This window comes from Homo sapiens, chromosome 5, assembly GCF_000001405.40.
Source record: "Homo sapiens chromosome 5, GRCh38.p14 Primary Assembly".
In the NCBI taxonomy this organism is placed as follows: domain Eukaryota; kingdom Metazoa; phylum Chordata; class Mammalia; order Primates; family Hominidae; genus Homo; species Homo sapiens.
In genome coordinates this window covers 68,076,542-68,099,862 of record NC_000005.10, presented here as the reverse complement: position 1 = coordinate 68,099,862, position 23,321 = coordinate 68,076,542, and the positions used below count along the sequence as shown (strand labels likewise).

The following is a 23,321-nucleotide window of genomic DNA, read 5'->3' as shown; positions in this document are numbered from 1 at the left end:
CTTAAAGGCTGTTGCAACCATTTAAGGGAAATGATTTGCTATAGTATTTGGAGAAAGTTAATTAAGTTTTTGGTAAACTGAAAAACAGGCAAATTGATCAATATTGATAATACTGAGTGAGAACTGAGTTTTGGCAAATTCCACAAGTTGCTCTCTTCTCTGTGCCATAAGGCAGGAGGCCCTAACTCCCGGGTCATAAACTGGTACTGGTCCGTGGCCTGTTAGGAACTGTGCCACATAGGAGGAGGTGGGTGGTGGGGGGGATGAGTGAGCGAGGCTTCATCTGTATGTACTTACAGCTGCTCCCCATTGCTTGCATTACCTCCTGAGCTCTGCCTCCTGTCAGATCAGTGGCAGCAATAGATTCTCATAGGAGTGTGAACCCTATTGTGAACTACAGATGTGAGGGATCTAGGTTGCACACTCTGTATGAGAATCTAGTGCCTGACGATCTGTCACTGTCTCCCATCACCCCCAGATGGGACTGTCTAGTTGCAGGAAAACAAGCTCAGGACTCCCACTGATTCTACATTACGGTGAGCTGTATAATTATTTCATTATGTATCATAATGTAATAATAATAGAAATAAAGTGCATAATAAATGTAATGTGCTTGAATCATCCTGAAACCACCCTCTGACCCTGGTCTGTGGAAAAATTGTCTTCCACAAAACCAGTCCCCGGTGCCCAAAAGGCTGCGGATGGCTGCCATAAGGTGTGCTTTTTTTTCTGGTAAAAAAACCTCTGGCCTCCTTCCTGACCTCTGCACATGATGTTTGCAGACCACAGGTCTCTTTCCCTGACCCATCTCTGTTTTCACTGCTCTTCCATTTCATATTTTTCCTAACCAGTAGGCCAAGTGCATGTACTTTTCCTTGCTATGGAGTTGCTGGGGGTAATAATCCTAATCATTTGCACTTGAGCAAGAAAACAAATGATTTATTTGAACTAAAAAAGCATTCAATAAAAAGAATATTATATGTGTCAAGTGCCAGAGGATCTCAGCTTGTGGTGCCCTCAAGTAGGCTGTCCATATCTCCCAGATTCCCAATTTGCTGGGACAGCAGAGTTTTGATGGTCTAGGGCCTGGCTTCTAGAATAGGAAGAGAAAGGCCTTCAGAGGGTGGGACACTTAGAGCTATCTTCCCAAACCCTAGAGTTTTTGCTAGTTTCTTTGGCAGATGGTCTTAGCTCCCAAGCACATGATACAGATGTTCTTCCAATGGCCAGGTAGCAAGGAGTTGGTGGAGAAGTTGGCTACTGGCTGGAACACAGGCAGCAGACTCGTTTGGACTGGCTGCTGACATTCGTGCCCTGATGAGCCCCGTAGCAGGCCTAGGATTGAGATCAGGGGATTGAGTCTCTAGTTGCTCTAAACTCTGGTATCTGTCTTTAAAGGTCATTCATGATACAACAGTACTATTGCAGAGGTCTATGTCTGTCCTTAAAGAGGAAAAAGAGATTCAAATATATATATATATATATATATACACACACACACACACACACACACATGAAGGAGCTTATAGCTTAATTGTATATATGAATATATACATATATAATTTTGTATGTGTATATGTATAATTAATATGTATATAATAACATGTATAATTGTTTATTGTATGTTGGTCTTCTCCATTAGACTGTAAGCTCCTTAAGTCATATTTAATTTTCTTTTTAATCTTTATACACTGAAGGCCTAAAAGCATGTTTGACACATAATAGATGCTTAGTAAATACTTGGTGAGTGAATGAATATACCCCAAACAACGTCAAGATTCAATACACAATTTAATGTATTGTTCAATTGATTTAGTTGAGAACCACTTATGATGAAAGTTATTGTATTAGTCTGTTTTTATACTGCTGATAAAGACATACCTGAGACTGAGCAATTTACAAAAGAAAGAGGTTTATTGGACTTACAGTTTCATGTGGCTGGGGAGACCTCACAATCATGGTGGAAAGTGAAAGGCATGTCTCACATGGTGGCAGGCAAGAGAAGAGAGCCTGTTCAGGGAAACTCCCCTTTTTGAAACCATCAGTCTCATGAGACTCATTCACTATCATGAGAACAGTGCAGGAAAGACCCACTCCCATAATTCAATCACCTTCCACTGGGTTCCTCCCATGACATGTGGGAATTGTGGGAGTTAAAATTCAAGATGAGATTTGGGTGAGGACACAGCCAAACCATATCAGTTATCAAAAACATACACACTGCCAATAAATTATAAAAGTTGTTATAAAAATAAATTATGCATCTATATTAAAATATAGGCAGACATACACTATGATGATGCTGCCAGTTTTAAACCAAATCATTTAAAATGCTATACTTCCACTTCTCTAATGGTCCCTGGTGCCCAGAAGATTGGGGACTGCTGTCATAAGTCATTCTTTTCTTTTTGGTAAGAACTTCTACTAGTTCTCTAATGGTCCAACTAGTTTAAAATGTTAAAATATCAAATTCCAATATTTTTACTCATTCCTACATACACAGTTCCCAAGGTATCACCTGAAGGTCAATAAATATTTGTTGAAAGCATAAAATAGCTTTATATGACTGCTTAGGCAAATCACACATAGCCTGAGGGTGTATGAATTTGGCTTTTAGAAGTAGGAAGAAAGAGTTTACTTTTCCATGTGCCTGACTATGGAGAATCAAATTACAAACATCTTTCTTATTTCTTCCCTGTATTAGTTTTCTATTGCTGGGTAACAAATAACAAGTTTAGAGGCTTAAAATAATACCCATTCATTAGCCCAGCTCTGTAGGTCAGAAGTCCTTCACAGCATGACTGGATTCTGCTCAAGAAGACTGAAATCAAGATATTGTCCGTACTGAGTTCTCAAATGGAGACCCTGGTGGAAAATCCACTTCCAAGTTCATTCTCTTAGGTGACAGAAATTAGTTGCTTGAGCTTGTGGAACTGAGGTCTCCATTTCTTTGCTTGCTGTCAGATGGGGGCTGCTGTCAGTCTCTAAGGTCACCCACTTCCTTGCCATGTGGCTCCTTCCATCTTTAAGCCTGCAATGACATGGTACAGTAAATTCTTCTTGTGCTTCAAGTCTCTTACTTCTTCTGTCTCTCACCTCTAGATGCAGATTTAAAGGGCTCTTGATGAGGTAACGCCCACCTGAATAATTTGTGTCTCTTAAGGTCAACTGATTTGGGAACTTAATCACATTTGCAAAATCCATTTTGCTATATATGTAACATAGTCATAGGAGTGGTATCTCATGACAATCATGTGCCTCATAACTCTTCAGTCAACAACAGACTGCGTATTGACAATGGTCCTATCAGATTATAATATTGTATTTTTATTATACCTTTTCCATATTTAGATATGTTTAGAGGCATAAGTATTTACCATGGCGTTGCAGTTGCCTACAGTATTCAGGACAGTAACATACTATATAGGTGTATAGCCTAGGAGCAATAGGCTATACTATATAGCTAGGTGTATAGTAGGCTATACCATCTAGGTTTGTGTGAATACACTCTATGATGTTAGCACAAGGATGAAATCACCTATCAATGCATTTCTCAGAACATATCCCTGTCATTAAACAATGCATGACGGTCTATTCACAGACTCTGTCCACACTTGAGAGGAGGAGATTACATAAGGGTAAAGGTCACTGAAGATCCTCTTAGAAACCTGCCTATGACATTGCCTTACATCAAGGCTTTGGCTTGAGCTCAGGTGTTGTCAATAGTGTGTGTGTGTGAGGATGTGTGTGTGTGTGTTGTGTGTGTGTAAGAGTTTATGATGTGTCACATATGTGATGTGTGGGAGGTTGGATTATTCTGACCTCTGAGGTCAGTTCAATTGGTCCATAAGCCAAGGATCATCTGCAATGGCACCATTTTAAAATATGAATATATTTTCATTGCCTGGTCTCTGGGATGGCTTCTGCTCTTTTTTTTCTTTTTCTTTCTTTCTTTTTTTTAACCCACTACTCTTTCTTTCCCAATTTAAAATATGTTGTGGTCCAAAAGCCTTTCACTTTTCCCTTGGCTGTATTTTCATATAAGAAGACAATGACACAGACTTCTTCTGGTGGAAATAGCTGGGTCTAAATATTGGAGGCCTAAGAATATGAGCACAATTTCTCTTCATGGTAATCCCTTTGGAAGCTGTAGTGCCTAGGGGAAGTTTGTTAATTAGTTTTCCATGGAATTAAAGTTCAGTGATTATTCAAGATCTGTACAGAGTTTTGATTGCCAATATTTTTTTCTGAGATATATTCCTGTCAGCATATTTGGAATAATAAAAGGCGATTAGAGAAGGTGATGAAAGATTAGTTATAATCCTGGAGGTGTGAAATGATATCCTATCTAGGAAGAGACTTTAATCCTGTTATTTTTGAGTAGAAGATCATGTGTTGGTAGTGGGGTCTAGAATTTCAAAATAGTGAAGCAGAGAGCCTTATTCTAGCATAAGGGTTCTTTACCTCTCATCCATGAACCTTCAAGGTTCACAGATGGGCTTCAAGGAAAGCCAGGAACTTTTTGAAATTGAATGTGAATTATGAGTTTGCATGTGTATGTTCATGTTCTGGAGAAGAGCTAATGATATCCTTAGATTGAGTCATAGGTTCTGTTCACCAAAATGATTAAAAGCCACCAGGCTAATTGGAGGACCATTTTTCAAGGAAATTAAAGCCCACAAAGGTGAAATGACTTGCCTGAAATCACAAAACTAATTTGCTTGTTGCATAACAGAGATTACATTCCTAGGCTCCTGATGCCCATTCTAATGTACTATTACTACACTTTATCCTGAGAGAGGCTTTTAAGGCCACACATGTGTGACGGTTGTATTTTAACTAAACCAGTGTTACATTGTTCCTTTGGAAACAGTTACTTAGATACATGGCATCCTTTAAAAAAAGTGAGCTGAAAGTGGGGAAGGGTGGGGAAAGGTATACTGGACTAGGACATACATATATATTGCCTTATATATAATAAAATGCAATCAATAGCTGTTGAATAAATGAGTAGTAGGAGTGTTCTGTTTATAAAACAAACATATATGAGGGGGGCCTGCTTTTTCACTAGAACCCTGCTAGTTACTACTGCAACTGCTATGAAAATTATTTTTGAGGAAAACACATTTTTTAGATAAAAGGAGGTGAAGCACATGGAGTAATTATGAAAAGTATATTAGTAATGATGATGATAATGATAATAAAAATATTTGAGTGACTATCATGTTATGATGTACCAGGTACGGCTATGCTAAATGATTTATCTAAATTATCTAATTTAATTTAATTATTGCCAACATTCCATGATTTAGATGTTATAACCCTATCTACAGATGAGAAACTGGGATGCACAAATGTTAATTAATCTCCCAAGGTCAGAGTTAGTAAATGACACAGCAGAATTTCTAACCTGGATGGATTGACAAAAGCTTGTGCTCTAACCTGTATGCACAAGGTTCACTCCCAATATATTGGAATATAACATTGGGATAGTTGAGTTTTTAATTATTGAATAGCAAAAGCAATATTATTTTCAGGACATCTTTACTAAAATCCTCTCCCTGAAATATACACATACAAGTTTTTACAAGTTTGTCTACAAGATACAAGTTTATCTTTAGGATTTTTCTCAACATTCCCTGTATATTTTCCTTTTGTTTACAGTTTTCCTTTGAGTCCAGGATCAGCTGAATTAACAAGAAAAAAATTATTACTGAAGCCTGTTAATGTAAAAAATAAGTACATGGAGAAATCCCTGGAAATATCAAAACCATCAAATGTTAGTCCTTGGGATCAAAGGTGGTGGAAGTGGGAGCTTTTTCAAGTTGAAATAAATGTCTACTCCTATTTGGTGCAAGAAATCTAGGCTCTCCACTCAAATGACATGTGGTTTTCCATTTGTTCTTAGTGCTTACATGTGACATAGGCAGTTAATCCATAGATTTTATTTAAACCTCACTTTATATACATATAAAAATGCATGCAATAAAGTACACAACTCATGAGGTTTTTTTAAAGTTTAGTTCTGACGACTTTCAGGACAACTTGAATTTGGGTCCAGGGATAGGTGTTTGGCAGATAGTGATGGCAGAGTGGATTCAACAGTGACCTAGTTATTTGGTGTGGCTTTACCTTTGTGTGCCAGTAATAGGAACCAACAGCTGGGTCAACCTGTTCCAGCTAGTTTATATTCAAAAGTATCACGAGGAAAACATGGGTGAACCAGCTGTTCTAGTGAATTTACACAACACCGTCAGGAGAACTGGTGTCCCCACTGCCATGGGAGGCTTTAAAATACCAACAACAGCTGTCTGAATATTCCTGAAACAATGCAAAAATAGCTGTGAAAAATGGTGATGATTTGCTGGGACTGATTGGGAATTCCAAACCAAGCTTGGCTATTATACAGGCAAGGAGATGGTGAATGGCCTGGGTTCCTGCTGGCCTTTGCTTCACAAGATGTGTTCTCTGCCAAGTACTTTACTTCCCCGTCTCCTCACTCCCCTAGTGAAAGGGTGGGACAGGATTCGTGACTTCAGTGAGGAGTTGAAGGGAGTGAGGTCAGCCTCCCTCCACCACCCTCAAGTTATCAGAAACAGGATGAGGGGAGAGTAATTTAAAAATATATGTAATTAATAGTTAAGTAAAATTATTGTAAAACATTTAAATGATTTTATAATATACAGTTTATAAAAAATATGAGATATTTATGTTTCTGAATAGGAAACATGAGTTTTCAAGCTTGAGAATTGGCCCATTAGAGAACTCATTTTAGTTCTGAGTTGAGAGTTTGGCCAGCGGCTGGGGAAAATGAATTCCCTTCCCTCTTTGAGCCAGTACATAAAGGAATTTGGAATATTCTTAGATATTTATCTTGTATCCACCGTGTATCAGGAACTATCAAGTTTGAGGATATAGTAGTGAACAAAAGAGATCAAAATCCCTGCCCTCAAGAAGCAGGCCGGGCTCAGTGGCTCACGCCTGTAATCCCAGCACTTTGGGAGGCCAAGGCAGGCGGATCACGAGGTCCAGAGATCGAGACCTCCCTGGCCAACATGGTGAAATCCCGTGTCTACTAAAAATACAAAAAAAAAAAAAAAAAAAATTAGCCGGGCATGGTGGCAGGTGCCTGTAATCCCAGCTACTTGGGAGGCTGAGGCAGGAGAATCGCTTGACCCGGGAGGTGGAGGTTGCAGTGAGCCGAGATCTCGCCATTGCACTCCAGCCTGGGCAAAGAGTGAAACTCTGTCTCAAAAAAAAAAAAAAAAAAGCTAACATTCTAGATAATAACTACGATAAAGACATAAATTAATAAATAAATAAGATAGTGTAAAGGATGCTGTGAAGTCCTGCCCAGGTCTCCCTTCAATGAATAACCTGCTGATGGCTGCTGATAGGGCTGCCACAGGTGACTTTAGTCCTTACAGGGATTGCCTCAGCTTCAGAGAGCTGCCTTGTCCAGTGCAAATCCAATGACTGATTTAGGACTGGAAGACCTGGCCTGAGCTCTGGACAGCAGGAGCCTGTGCTGAAAAGCCATTTCCTTTCTCGCTTCAGGACTGCCATGGGATTGGCCAAGGATTTCATTGAGATCTGCATGACAGCCTGACTTTTCCGTTTGCCCGTTCCTGCTTTTGTCTCCTTTCCACACAAGACTAGGACAAGGCTGTCTCTTGGATGGAGCTCATTGGATGCAAAATTTAGAGACACCCTCACTCCCAGGGTCATGCAGGTGCAGAGTTGCTCAGGGATTACATTTTATTTCAAAGTAAAACATTTTTAAAAATACAAGTGACCCTCAAATGCTACATCATACTTTTAACTTGGTGAAGATGCCTTAAGCAAAAATTCAGAATCAAAATTTAGATTAAATTTCAATCCTATATGATGGCATAAATGCAAATAATTTAAGTGAGATATCAATTCAATAAATAAATAAGTCTAGATTCTAACTCAGGCTTTCTGGCTCCAAAGGCCCTGCTCTTTCCATGGGTACAATGTTTGAAGACAATTCCTGCAGTAGGGTTACACTGTGAATCTACATTTTGGTTCTTATAGTTTTCTCTCCATGAATCAATAGGTCAGCTGAGTGGAGCTCTGACCCTAGAAACAGAAGTTAGACATTAAAAAAAAAAATTAAAGTACCCTCCCAACCCTTTTCAAGATATCATTATCAAATTTTATAAAAATAATTCAATTAAGTACCATGTAGCCCCGTTTTATTTTTTAGGAGCTCAGTTAAATCCTTCAGAATTATCTGGTGTATGTGAGTGTGTATGCGTGAAAAATATTGTGTTTTTGAATTGAATTTGCATTTTTTACTTAAAAAATAAAATATATTTCTCCAAATATGAACCACTGAATTTCCAGAGTAGATACATACAATAAACTGGGGTACCCTGTTTAGATTAAAACCCTATTTGAGAAAAAAAAACTATCCATGTACTTTAGTTTTTTTTTTTTTTCATACAAATGTATTTGCCTAAAGAAGGTCATTTTCACCGACTAGCATTTTGTCAGAAAATTTGAAGGACTCAAGTGTACTTCTGTGGATCTGCTGGCCAAAATGTGACATCTGTTATTCCCTAAAACCAATGTGACCCTTGTACACAAGAAATGCTCCAGAAAATACTATGGGAATTACAGACTAAGACTAACTCTCGTAACTGAAAAACTGGTGGATTAACAAAATTTTAAAATAGTCATTATAGGCCAGGCGCGGTGGCTCACACCTGTAATCCCAGCACTTTGGGAGGCTGAGGTGGGCGGATCACGAGGTCAGGAGATCAAGACCATCCTGGCCAACACAGTGAAACCCTATCTCTATTAAAAAAAAAAAAAAATTATTCGGGCGTGGTGGTGGGCGCCTGTAGTCCCAGCTATTTGGGAGGCTGAGGCAGGAGAATGGCATGAACCCAGGAGACAGAGCTTGCAGTGAGCCGAGATTGTGCCACTGCACTCCAGCCTGGGTGACACAGCGAGACTCCGTCTCAAAAAAAAAAAAAAAATTCATTATATATTTGTCAACACTTGTAGAATGTACAACACAGAGTCAACCCTAATATAAACCATGGACTTTGGGTGAATGATGTGTCATGTAAGTTCATAGACTGTAACAAACATACCATATACCATGGCGGGGGGTGTTGATACTGGGGGAGGCTAAGTGTGTGGGGGGTGGGCAGAGGGCACATGGGAACTCTGTACTTTCTGCTCAATTTTGCTGTGAACCTAAAACTGCTCTAAAAGATAAAATCTATTAAAAATAAAAAAATAAAAACAGGATAAGAGGAAGTAAAAATATTGTGATGACCTGATTCATTGAACACGCATAGCCTCCAGACCCACTCTGACACTGGGAACTCATTGATCCTTTGTGCCTCTCTCCTTTACTCTCTACTGTGACTCCTCCAGGCCCCCTTTCCTCTTAAACTGCTATTTCTGCTTCCCATAACCATAGTCCCCTCTCAATGGAAGCCTGTTCTGCTTTACAGATGATCAGACTCTCTTCTCACTCTCACACTCACTGGCCCTGAATCGCCTCTCATTTCCCCTAGAATCCTGGAGGGAGAGACTCTTCCCTTGAGGTCCTATAAGGTTAACCCCTTCATATACTTTCTGGATTGAATCGTAATCCCCTGAAATTCAAGTCCACCTGGAACTTCAGAATGTGACTTTATTTGGAAATAGGATCTTTGCTGATGTAATTAGTTAAGAAGCAATATACTGGACTAAGGTGCGTCCTAAGTCCAAAGTGATTACCATTCTTGCAAGAAGAGGAGAGGACATACAGAGTCACAGGACATGGTGGGATGTAGCCCATGTGAAGATGGAGGCAGAGACTGGAGTGATGCTGCTACAAGCCAAGGAATGCTGAGGATTGCCAACCACCACCAGAAGCCAAAAGAGGCAAGGAAGGGTTTCCTCCTTAGGGCCCACAGAGAGAACACAGCCCTGCCAACACCTTGGTTTTAGACTTAGAACCTCCAGAACTGGGAGAGAATGAATTCTGTCATTTAAAGCCACTTAGTTTGTGACATTTTGTTATGACAGTCCCAGGAAACTAGTACAGATTTTAATAACAGTAGTCATTCCTTTAGAACTCCACATCCATTATTACTATTCTTTCTACCTTCAAGTTTTCCTTGTGCTCTTTCACTTGTCTTCATTCATGTTCAGTCTATCCTAATATATATATATATATTTTTGAGACAGGGTCTCACTCTGTTGCCCAGGCTGGAGTGTAGCAGCACAATCACTGCAGCCTCAACCACATGGGCTCACGCAATCCTCCTGCCTCAGTCTCCTGAGTAGCTGAGACCACAGGTGTGTGCCACCACACCTGACTTTTTTTTTTTTTTTTTTTTTTTTTTTGTAGAGATAGGTTCTGACTATATTGCCTAGGGTGGTCTTGAACTCCTGGGCCCAAGTGATCCTTCTTCCTTGGCCTCCCAAAGTGCTGAGATTATAGGCATGAGCCACCATGCCTGGTCATAAATTAAAAAACAAAACAAAAAAACAAAACAAAACAAAAACTCTCAGTTTTGGCTTGTCTTGATAGTCCTTCAATAAACTGCTTCCATTTCTCACTTCCAAACACCTTCTTTTCTTTGTAATACTAAATTCCTAAATATGCTTAAAGCCCTTTCAAAACTATTTATTGTGTATCATATCAAGTTCTCACTATTCTGGCTTGCTGTTCTAGGCTTTCCTTAGTTTCATCCTGAACTTCTCAGACTCCTTTACATGTTTGCTGCGACCAGACAATCCTACTTCTGAGTCTTCTCTCATGCTATTTCCCTTTTATTTCTGGAATGCCTGGAAGCTCTCTGCAGTCTTCCCTTTGCTCTGTCTCTATAAAGCCTACTTAGGTTTCAAGACTCAACTTGAGGGCTCTCTTCTCTCTGAAGATTTGTCCTTCTTCTTCTAATACACTTGTTTCTTTATTTTCTGAACTCCTTTTATAGTGTTAGTCACCACCACATTTATGTATCTTCTTGTTTGCTAATCATTTTGTGACTTCTTTTAATCCATCTGACTTGATTTCAAGGTGTTTAGTACCAAAGACCATGCCTTTATACTTCTTTCTCTCCCCTCCTAGAGTTGAGCACAATGATGAACACACATTAGGATTTAAATAAATTCACCTTTGTAAGTTCCAGGGCAGTCATGGACTATTCAGCAAACATAGACAATGATTTCTGTTAGGAGACAACAGGCTTTATCTACTAGAATTCTCTGAGCGGGTCAATAAGCATGCGGACATCATTTCTTAAACTTTTCAAAAACCTTGACAATTTTCCACACCAGAGGTTATTTAAAGATAAAAATGAGTCATGATGAGATTGTGGGGAATGTTTTGTCATGGTAAGGGAACTGGCTTAGGGTTCGGAAACAGCCTGAACCACTGCTTCTAGTAATGAATTCCATATGTTTACAACCTTCCACCCAGAGAAAATGGGGCCCTTCTCTGAAAAAGGAGGTCATATGGAGGGGAACCCCAAAAGGGTGCACATCTGTTTTATTTAGCATGTTTGGGAGGAGAGCTCACAATGAAATCTTTCTCAGAAATAGTGTCAATCAAAAGAGGGAACACTCGAGAAAACTTTGGTAGGGGTACATGTCATCAAAGATGTGACCAATGAGTCTGTGTTCTGTTCAATGACAAGAGAGACCCCTAGAGAAAATGCAACACAGGCTAGTTTTAGGTGCTGAATTCTGAGCTATCTGTTACTAGCAAGCAAGGGAACCAGGACATTCGGTTCTCTGGAGAGGCTAATCATTTGGCACCTCTTCAAACAGTGTTAAAGTATTTGCTAAACACTTATTTAGAAGAAAGGCTTAAGGCTACCTGGGAGAAGAGCCAAGAAGGCGGCAGCTCTAACTTCTTTTCTGTTGTCCTGAGACATTCATTTCAACCCCAAAGTTGCATATCCATATCATGGAAACAAAATAACAACTCTGCAGTTGACTGAACCCACCTTCCTCAGGGACTGTCTACTGTAACTCTATTAGGAGTTCTGGACTCTCACCTCCTCACCATTGCTATTCCAAATGGACTCCTATTGCTATATTGCTATTCCAAAGAATATCACTATTCCAAATGTACTCCTATTTGATAAAAGGAATTTTAACATAACAGTTGCTTGTTGCTAGAAATTAGTCTTGGGAGGAAAAGAGAATACACAAACAATCTGAAAGATTTGAATGATCTGAAAGAAAGAGGGCTTTATGGCAGGAGAAAGTATGACTCCCACCTGAAGTACAAGATGGAATCTAGAACCATCACGAGCCACTGTACTAATACAGGTAAGACAGGCCTGGGACCACCAGACCTGATGTAGACATTTCCAGGGGCTGGCAAGATGTTGATAGCTGTGGGACTAGGTGTTGCAGCCTTTGCAATTGAATATTTTACAGCTGCATATTTCAAGTCTGGAAACTTCTGCAACAAGTAGTCACAGAACATGTGAAAATTTCAACCCCTAGCCTTTCATACTCCTATAAAAAGGATTTAAACAGACAAAATGGGTAGGCGAGAAGCTAGTCTTATTTTAGGTGTAAGCCCATCTGCTGGTAAAGCTGAGATTAGAATGCTTCATAGAAAAATCATGATTTCAAATTAAGCGGATAACAATGACTCTCTTGTTTAGCAACCCAAATATACAAAGCAGAAGTCATGCTAGATTGAGCACCAAACAGTGATGTGCAAGGAGAAAGCAGAGCCTTTTCGTTCTTTCTTTTTATTAAAAAAAAAAAGTCCTATACAATGATCACATCCATTTCTTTTCAGGCAACTTAACAACAAATGATTAGCACAGACAAAAGAATTGAAGGAAGGAAGAAGCCGAATCCTTGGTGGTGAGTGCAGAAGAGGAATTTGCTCTTGGCAGGGCCCTCGTGATAGAGGAGAAGCTGAGTCAGGGATTCACGGAACAGAGCAATAAACAGATGGCCGCGCTGAGAGCAGTAATGACTGGACTTTCCAATGGCATCAAAAAGGTTTTTTTTTTTGTTTTCACCTCTCAATAACCGTGAACAGATATTTTAAGAAGTGGCAACACGTTAGAAAGAATAATTAATCTTTCCGGCTGAAAATAATTGTAACAGGAGTCTATAAGATCCCGAAAGTAGGAAGCTATACAATTGCTTCCTCAATACGAGCATCTGTTTAACCTTGTAGAGCAGGCACAACGTAATAGTCAATATGCTGCAACCCGGGGACACCCTGTTGGACAAGGCACTGCCCTAGACTTCATGGAACTCACCATGAAACTCCTTGTGAGAGGGACAGAAGCATGAGCATGCATATAGGAAGCCTTCAGTGGCCTCCTTTACTCCCATCCCCATTCACTACTACTCTCTCCACTCCAAGCCTGTGGCAGCTTTGTCCATCTTTCTTTATAGCACAGGTTACATTGAATTATGGCTGCCTGTTTCCTTGGAGCTCCTTAAAGTTATACACTATATTTTGCAGAATACATATTCATTGGCTAGTTAATTAAATTAATGGAAGAAACATATCCCTCAAGGGGATTTGAAACACCATACAAAAATACCTAAGAGTGACAGAGTAAAAATAAATCAGTGCATAAATAAATAAAATCAGTATACAGAGAAAACAGGTTAGAAAAAGTAAGATATATCCAGAGTAAGAAGATACTTCTTTTGAAAAGAACAAGAATGTTAAAATTTGAATTTTTTATAGAGACAGAGTCTCCCTACGTTGCCCACACTGGTCTCAAACTCCAGGCCTCAAGCAATTCTTCCTTGACCTCTCAAAGTGCTGGGATTACCCACCACGCCTGACCGGAAGAAACTCTTAAACTGAATTTTGCAGGGTGGATGGAGGTTTTTGGGCAGAGAAGTGAGGTTAAAGGAATTCTAGGCAGGGAGTTCTGGCATGTACCATGTTTGAATAACGGTGATGCTGGAAGCTGGGGTGGAGGGGGTGCTGATGAGGCTTGAGATTAGTGGGAGCTGCACTGTGGAAGGCTGTACAGAACAAGTTATGGATAGGAATTTATCTTGTGGGAACCTGGGAGCCAAAAATCATCATGATTGGATCCACATTTCAGAAATGTCTCTCTAGCAGCAGGGTGTTGGACAGATAAGAACATAAATTATGGAAGGCTGTCAGTTCCTTCTTTAATATCAACTCTCCTCAAATCTCTCATCATGTTTTCTATGAACATCAGAAGGAGACCTCACCTCTTATTTTGCAATTTTTGAATAGAACAAAAAAAAACTATTTGATGTGAACTTTTTGGAATACTTGGCTGCTCCCTCAGTCAACAAGAAGTACAACCACCCTCAAGTTCATTCCTCCTAGCCAATGAAAGAGGTACCTCTTTTCCTGCCTAAGACTCATTAGTTCACAATATCTGGTCAGGCATGTGGCTTCCCTTCGCTCCTATCTTTTGCCCCTTCTCTGTCCTGGCTCCTTCTTAACCAATAAAGCATACCCTTCCTCAGACCCTAGGTTCCCCTCAGATCATAAACTCTCCTTTTTTCCACAGTTAAGTTGCTGGAGATTTTCTACATTCACAGTCTGTATTTCTTCTCTTCTAAGTCACTCCTCAACAAATTTTTATTTGGATTTGATACCAAATTGCTCTTGCCAAGATTCCAGTAACCTCCAAGTAGCTAAGACTAAAGAATACTTCCATTATTATCTTATTCGACGTGACTGTAGCATTTGAAACAGTTGACTATTGCCTCCTTGAAACTCTCTCTTCCTTCATTTCCTCTTTCCTTTTCCATATAAAAAATATTTTTGTATTTCTATATGGAATACTATGATTAAATATAAATATTGTAATTACAACCCCAGCTTTTTTTGCAGACCTAGAATCCCATGCTTATCTCTTAAATGTTTATGTTTTCTAGAAATACTTCTCTGGACCTGAGAAAAAAGATGGATTAAAGGGACACATTTACGCATTATTAAAAGATGGGTCCACATGAAACCATCATTGGGATGACATTCAATAAGGAAGAAAAAAGAATAATGATACAATCCTAAGGAATATCAATATTCATGAAGTTGGGAAGAGAAATCAGGTAACACAAAGAAAGTGCAAATCAGAGGAGCAGATGGACAAAGTAAAGACAAGCATCAAGAAAGCCATGGATGAAGAGTTTTAAGAGGGAAGTGCCCTTTGGAAAGGTGAAGTACAATAATACATAACAAGCTCACTAGATGTGGCAATTAGGATACCAGTGTGGCCTTTGAGGGGACAATTTCAATGGAGTAGTGAAAACAGAAGAACAGAGAAGCTCCCTTACACCACTTACATGGGCTACTGAGAGAATGGGAAGTTAGCAAATGGAGACATTAATTTTCTATTTCATTTTCAAAAACCTTGGATGACACAGAGGGAGGGGGAGGGAACAATTTGAGTAGGAATAATGTTAAGGGAGGTCCTTGTCTCAATCTTTTCCTGCTGCTATAACAGAAGGCCTTGGACTGGGTAATTTACAAACAACAGAAATTTATTTCTTACAGTTCTGGAGGCTGGGAGGTCCAAGATTAAAGCAACAGAAAATCTGATGTCTGGTGAAAACGCCCTCTCTGCTTCCAAGATGGCGCCTTGTTGCTGTGTCCTCACAGGGCAGAAAAGATGGAAGAGCAAAAGGGACCAATGCTCTGTGAAGCCTCTTTTATATGGGCATGAATCTCATTCACGAAGGTGGAGCCCTCATGACCTAATCACCTTCTAAAAGCCCCATTGCTATCTTTTTTTAAAATTAATTAATTAATTTTTTATATCTGTAGGTTATTGGGGAACAGGTGGTGTATGGTTACATGGGTAAGTGCTTTAGTGGTGATTTGTGAGATTTGGGTGCACCCATGACCCAAGCAGTATACACTGCACCCCATTTGTAGTCTTTTATCCCTCCCCTCCTTCCCACCCTTTCTCCCTGAGTCAAGGCCCCACCTCTCAATACTATCACACTGGTGATGAAATTTCAACATGTGAATTTTGGAAGAACACATTTAGACCACAGCATCCCTTTAGGATAGTGGAGATTTGAACACACTTATAAACCCCAGGCAATCTTAGAAACTGGAAAGAAGTAATCTTACAAAAAATAAAACAAAGTGTTAGTTTATACAGATGTAATTAATAAATAGAGTCCTCCTAAATGGATATTCATTAAAGAATCATTTAAATAAATTGAAGTGCTACCATTTTGCAGGATTTTTCTTTGGTCAATGAATATGACCAAATATTATAAAAATATTTTCTGAGCATTAGCGGGCTTTGTGTATTCAAAGTATTAATGGGATGCAACATCATGAAATGTAAGACAAGTTGGCAAGTGTTGATGTAGTGGGAAGGGTCATGAAATTGGAATCTGGAGACCCATATCTGTCACCGACCAATCATTTAAGCTCTTCAGATCCCTAGTCTTCCATTTCAAGTTGAGGAGAGGAGGTTGGCCAAGATGGTCTAGTCTTCCCTAGGTAATTTTTGGGTTTTTTTGTAATTTTTATTTTAAGTTCTGGGGTACATGTGCAAGATGTACCCCAGATGTGCAGGTTTGTTACATAGGTAAACATGTGCCATGCTGGTTTGCTGCACCTGTCAACCCATCAATCCCTAGGTATTTTGTAAGGGCTCCTTTCAACTCCAGTAAATTTGGTTGTTTCTCAAGCTAGATTTATCTCATTCCAAGGTCTATGGACATATTCTCCTGGGTCTTTGAGTTCACAATGAAAAATCCTGAATTTTATATTTTCATTTTAATAATAAAGGACTAAATTTTTGATAATATGAAAGACAAACCCATGTCTGCTGATTTCAGCACCTGCATTTATTTTTGTATTTACAAATGTATTAAATACATGTAGTTTGGCTTTTTGATATCCTAAAAGGATTTCAAGTAAAATTTAGTAAGTTGGAAAGCTTCTCTAGTTACCTGTGATTGTTTGTTCTATTTTCTTTTTCTTTTTTTTTTTTTGAGACAGAGTCTCGCCCTGTCACCCAGGCTGGAATGCAGTGGTGTGATCTCGTCTCACTGCAACCTCTGCCTCCTGGGCTCAAGCGATTCTTCTACCTCAGCCTCCCAAGTAGCTGGGACTGCAGGTGCGTGCCACCATGCTGGGCTAATTTTTGTGTTTTTAGTAAAGACAGGGTTTCACCATGTTGGCCAGGCTGGTCTTGAACTCCTGACCTCAGGTGATCCGCCTGGCTTGGTCACCCAAAGTGCTGGGATTACAGACGTAAGCCACCTGCCCAGGCTAGTTTGTTCTATTTTCAAACTGATAACCTACATTCTGGATCTACCAATAAATTTATGTTGAATTATTTCATCTCATTAATGACAAAACTTTAATTTTACATCAATAATTTTCAACTAAAAGGTGTTTCCATAAGTTAAGATTTTCATTTATTTCTTTTCTTTTTTTGAGATGGAGTCTCGCTCTGTCACCCCAGCTGGAGTGCTGTGGTGTGACCTGGGCTCACTGCAATCTTTGCCTCTCAGGTTCAAGCGATTCTCCCACCTTAGCCTCCCGAGTAGCTGGGATTACAGACATCTGCCACCATGCCTGGCTCATTTTTTCTTGTGTTTTTAGTAGAGGCAGGGTTTCACCATGTTGGCCAGGCTGGTCTTGAACTCCTGGCCTCAAGCGATCCACTTGCCTTGACCCCCCAGAGTGCTGGGATTACAGGCACAAGCCACCACACCTGGCCAGGTAAGACTTTCATTTCTTTCTTTCTTTCTTTTTTTTTTTTTTTTTTTGAGATAGAGTTTCACTCTCGCTGCCCAGGTTGGAGTGCAATGGCACAATCTCAGCTCACCACAACTTCCACCTCCCGGGTTCAAGCGATTCTCCTGCCTCAGCCTCCCAAGTAGCTGAGATTACAGGCATGCACCACCACGCCCAGCTAATTTTTTTGTATTTTTAGTAGAGATGGGGTTTCTCCATGTTTGTCAGGCTGGTCTCAAACTCCCAACCTCAGGTGATCTTCCCACCTTGGTCTCCCAAAGAAGACTTTCATTTCTTAAGTGATTTAACATATTGATACTTTGACGTGACACCATGGAAATAACATATGGCATCAGTCTTCTAGCCTCAAGGGCTAGAAGAAGATGCTCAGATCAACCCAAGGTCAAAAGACATTTTATTGCTCTGAAGAAACAAAATCTTTGCAGAAATTTGAATGAAAAAATGCGGTGGCAAAATGGAGTTTTTACATTACAAACAATACTACAGGTGCATGGAACTGAAAAGAACCTTTGCCATTAACATCAGTACCCTTTTCACATCAAGCGAGAGGTTTCCATTTTAATGAAACAACCTGGCTGGGCGCAGTGGCTTATGCCTGTAATCAAAGCACTCTGGGAGGCCAAGGCGGAAGTATCGCTTGAGACCAGGAGTTCAAGACCAGCTTACATTAAATTACTTTATTTGATTATTATTATTATTTTGGTTTGTGGTTTGTACTTAATTTATAATTTTATTTTTATTTGATAGTTGTATAAAAACTATAGATATAAGTAAGGGGTTTGTACATGGATTTATGCTTATAGATATTTAAGTAACATTTTGATTAAATAATTTAGGTTACCATGTGTACCTTATTAATTTTTTAAGACATACATATGTAAGCCTTGAGAATCTGGTTTGGATTATACAGCTCTATCTATTTCTCTAAATTCTCCTAAGCTAAGAGTGGGGAAGCAGACAGTATTTGTGGCTGGGGGATGCTGATGGCACACAGAAAAGCCTAAAAATTATGGGGACCTCATGGAAATTGCTTCTCCATGGCCAGGCTCACATCCCCAGACAGGGAAAAGCCACAGGGAAAGGGAGACCTCAAAACCACTTGGCCAAACTGGAGGAAGCTGAATGAATGGGGTAGGTTAGGGTGACAATGGAGCAAAAAGGAAAATGAACTGCACCAATGCAACACTGGGTTTTTCAGGTGTTCAAAGAATCAGGTTTCAAAAGTTAAACATCAATCAGAAATGTACTAAAAGTGGTTTTCGAAAGAACAGTTCAAGGCTGGCATGTTAAATGAAGCAGCCAAGAGGACATTGGACATATTTAGCAATGGTCAGACCCTTCAGAGAGGACAGTGTTTAGTTAACAGCTTCACCATTCAAGAGAGGAGGGAAAACAAAGCCTGATGAAGATAGTGGAAAATGGCATCCAGCAAAAATATGAAAATGGGCTAAGCAAATCTAAGGTGTTTAACTTGGAAAGGAAACATGAAAAAATAAGAACATTTTTCTAGGGACAATTCTGCAAAGGGAGATTACACCAAATTGGTGACTGGAAGTTATCTATCTTACGTAATAATAAAAAAGAAGGCGGCAGGGCGCGGTGGCTCACGCCGTAATCCCAGCATTTAGGGAGGCGGAGGTGGGTGGATTGTGAGGTCAAGAGTTCAATTCCAGCCTGGCCAAGATGTTGAAACCCCATCTCTACAAAAACTACAAAAATTAGCCAGGCATGGTGGCAGGTGCTTGTAGTCTCACCTACTCAGAAGGCTGAGGCAGGAGAATCACTTGAACCCGGGCAGCAGAGGTTGCAGTGAGCAGAGATTACACCACTGCATTCCAGCCTGGGTGACAGAGTGAGACTCCATCTCAAAAAAGAAGGTATAGCTGCATGTTGTGGCTCACACCTGTAATCCCAACACTTTGGGAGGTCAAGGTGGGAGGATTGTTTGAGGCCAGCAGTTTGAGACTAGCCCTGGGCAACATAGTGTGACCTCGTGCCTGTATAAATAAAAAGTAGGACACATCTCAAACAATAGTGATTTAGGTTGGTAACATTTAAGAGAAACCACCTTAAAGGGAGCCTGAGGAGAACTCATGGGTTCTTGACAGAAGGTATAGAGATTGTCCCCAGGAGAGCTGGCAATCTGTTTCTTGAGATACAGTTGTGCCAGGATGAAATCTTAAGCCACTGGCTGTTTCTGTGCTTCTCTAAGAGGAAAAAGAGGTCAGGAGTTGAGAAATGACTGAATCCCAACAGGGCATCAGGAGTGTTAACAGACAGGACTCCAGTCTGGGATGTTGAGGAGGAAGCCACCAGAGTGTGACTTGGCGAGAACCTCCCTGCTGGTAGGAAAGGGATGGGTCAATGAATCCAAGGTGGCCTGCTGAAAAGGGGAGGTCATGTTTGGAGTTCTCAGAGTGGAAGACGCTGTGTATATATTAGGCCATCTTTTTTATTAAGGTCCACATACAGCAAATTAGATTGAGTATTTGCTAATACTTTCTACTCCTAGTATAGAGTCAACCTCTCTGGGGCTACTTCAGGCTCTTCTCCACAAAGGGCTTGGGTGGCGGGTGAGGTGGTATTGTTCCTCCCCCTGCCCTGCCCACCAAGTTTTTAATTCCAGTTGAAGGTCAAAATGCTTTTGTTTCACCAGAGAGCTCCTCAGAAAAAGCACAAAGGAAAAAAAAAAAAAAAAGGACCGGGTAAATGTACCAAAAATTTGGCCTTTTGAAAAGTAGGTTGAGAAATTCTTACTAGTGTATCTCTTACAGTTTCAAGCTGCTGTTTAACCATTTAATCAGTGACAATCTCACAGAGAGACCTGGAAAACATAGACTGGTAAAGTACAACACATTTTGGTGATGCTTTCGGTTCTTAAATGATTCTTTTTTTTTTTTTTTTTTTTTTTGAGACAGAGTTTCACTCTTGTTGCCCAGGCTGGAGTGCAATGGTGTGATCTCGGCTCACCGCAACCTCTGCCTCCCGGGTTCAAGCGATTCTCCTGCCTCAGCCTCCTGAGTAGCTGGGATTACAGGCATGCACCACCACACCCAGCTAATTTTGTATCTTTAGCAGAGACGGGGTTTCTTCATATTGGTAAGGCTGGTCTCGAACTCCCGACCTCAGGTGATCTGCCCACTTTGGCCTCCCAAAGTGCTGGGATTACATGCATGAGCCACTGCACCCGGCTAGGTTCTTAGATGATTATTCTAAAAGTTCACATACTGAGCACAACTCTCTGAGGAGTTTAGAGAGAAAATCATTTCACGGGGATAGTTACTGTGTGAGACATTCTGTGAAAACATTGGAAAATATGACTTTCCTCATGACATTTGCTGTCTCTGACTTTCCCATGGGGAAAATCTGAGGATCAATGAATTCCCATAAAGTGAACCCCACCACCGCCTCCCAGAGGCCGTCTGTCTGGAGATAGGAGTAAGCAAGGACCTGTTTCTGGGAGCAGGCTTTCCATTTGCATGTGTTTTATACTTGGAATTGAACTATGGAGACAGAAAGGCAGGCTATCCCGGCAAAGCTACAATAACATTTTTATTACCACATTTACTTGAAATTGATTGTTTGAGTCCCACTGAGGATATTTTCAATAAACCAAAACTTTGAGAAATTAGAAACAAATCGTTTCTTGAGTAGTTTGGGTCTTCATACTTCGAATTCAAAATAGAACACATCTATCGATCAAATTATTGATTGTTAACTTAATCAATTAAAAATTAGTTTAAGTGCTCACAATCTAAAATGATTTTTGATTTTTTGATGAAGTTTCCTGAGGGCTTTTCCTCCTCATACCTTCAAATGAGTAACAAAAAAAAAAGAGAAGAGTAACTTACCAGCCAGTGACTGTGTGGTGGAGACCTTATCTCGAGCTGTTGCTGCAAGGCAGGAGGGCGGAAGGTGAAGGCAGAGGGTGTAGTGAAAAGAGCCCTGGACTAGAGTAGCATACCTGGGCACAGCTGGGCCTTGAGTTCCTTTCTGCCACTCATCAGCTATGTGGAGTCGACTGATTCCCGTAACCTCTTTGGGCACAAATTTCCCTGTTTGAAAAAGATCACCCCTAAAATCCTACCTGCCATCTCTGCCTAAGAGTCTTTCACTTAGCTCACTTTTACCCGATCCAGTATTGACCTCATCGGCTTGTAGGCTTGTCCCTACAACTTACTTTCCTTCTCCTATCTTCCGGCACAGTGAAGGGAGCCATTGTCCAGCTGGCCATCCAAGAGCAAAGCCACTGGAGCTAACCTAACCTCCTTTGTTTTTTCCTGCTGTAATCTGCCTGTCTCTCAATCAGTTAATCACAAAGTCTGGTCATTTTTCCTTCTGAATATCTCTTGACTCTGCATGTCCGGTCCCAGAGCCCTTGCCTCAGGGCAGGCCGGTATCTTCCTGCCACTGCACTCCTCCCTCTGGACTCATCTCCTCATCTCCCATTACCTCTGTGCAAAACTTAATTAACATAATGTTACCTTTGTGATCTGGCTTCTGGCCCGCCCCATCTGTCAAAAGCTTTCTGCTTTCATTCTGCAGATAAGGGAAGTACTTGGAGCTCTTCAGGTGTGCTGTGCGTGCACTCGTCTCCATACCTGGGTACATACTTCTTGCCAGCAATTTCCGTCCCACCATTTTGGGTCTGAACAAGCCCATTCAGCCTTTGAGAATCCACTAAGGGATTGCCATTTTTTCTGAGCCTTCTGTGCCCTCTGCCCCTCTTCCCCCTTCCCTCAGTCTGCATAGTTGCTCCTCTTCTGAGCTTCTAAACTACCTCAGCTTTCAGGGCACATTGGACTTGCCTGTCCACCAAGTCTATTTGCAGCAGACTCTGAAGTCAACTTATCTTTGTATCTCCTGTAGCTGGCAAGTTTCCTGACACATAGTAGGTGCTGAAGTGTCAGGTCAATGAGTAAAAGTAGAATAAAGAAAGAAGGAGAGCAAGGAGAAGAGGGGAATGAAAGGGAGGGAGAGAGAAAAGAGAAAGGAATGAAAGAAAGAGGGAAGGAAAGAACAAAATGAGCTAACCACTTTCATGATATTGAGTAATAGGATTAAGATTGGGGAGGTAAGAAAGGATTATCTTGAGTGTCATAATGAGGAATTTGGATGTAATCCTCCGAGCAATGGGGAGCTATTGATGGTTTTTGAGTAAAGAGGTAAATTTGTTATTATCTACACAATTCTTTTACTTATTCCTGTCTCTCTCTCTCCCTCTCTCTCCCCACCGCTGCCCCTGTCTTCTTTCTCTCAAACCAGTATTTATTGAACAATTAGCATGCACCAGGCACTGTGCATAGTGCTAGCCACTGGGAGCCCAGAGGTAAGTAAGAAATACGCTTTATCTTTAAGGTTCTTATAGTCAATGAGAGGAGATGGAGAAGGAGACACACACTTGCAATCTTTTGTCAAAGGTATCGTGACTGAAACACGAATAAGTAGAGTGGAGGCTCAAAGTGAGAGTGGTTAGTTCTCACTGGTTAATGTTGAAGCAGAGCCTTCAATGACTGCTGGCTAGATGCTTACCAAACTGGGTCGTTCTTCTTGGGTGCACAGGTGAATTCTATCCCAGCCT

General features: G+C 40.5%; 1 long non-coding RNA gene across 1 annotated transcript; it reads right to left on the bottom strand.

The window, feature by feature from the left end:
- Positions 1-1,895: 1,895 nt before the first annotated feature.
- LOC124900990 (uncharacterized) lies at positions 1,896-22,123 on the bottom strand. The gene is made up of 2 exons (XR_007058800.1): positions 21,592-22,123; positions 1,896-3,031 (listed from the first exon to the last, which is right to left on the bottom strand). It is a non-coding gene; the product is annotated as an uncharacterized LOC124900990 (long non-coding RNA).
- Between the last annotated feature and the right edge of the window lie 1,198 nt (positions 22,124-23,321).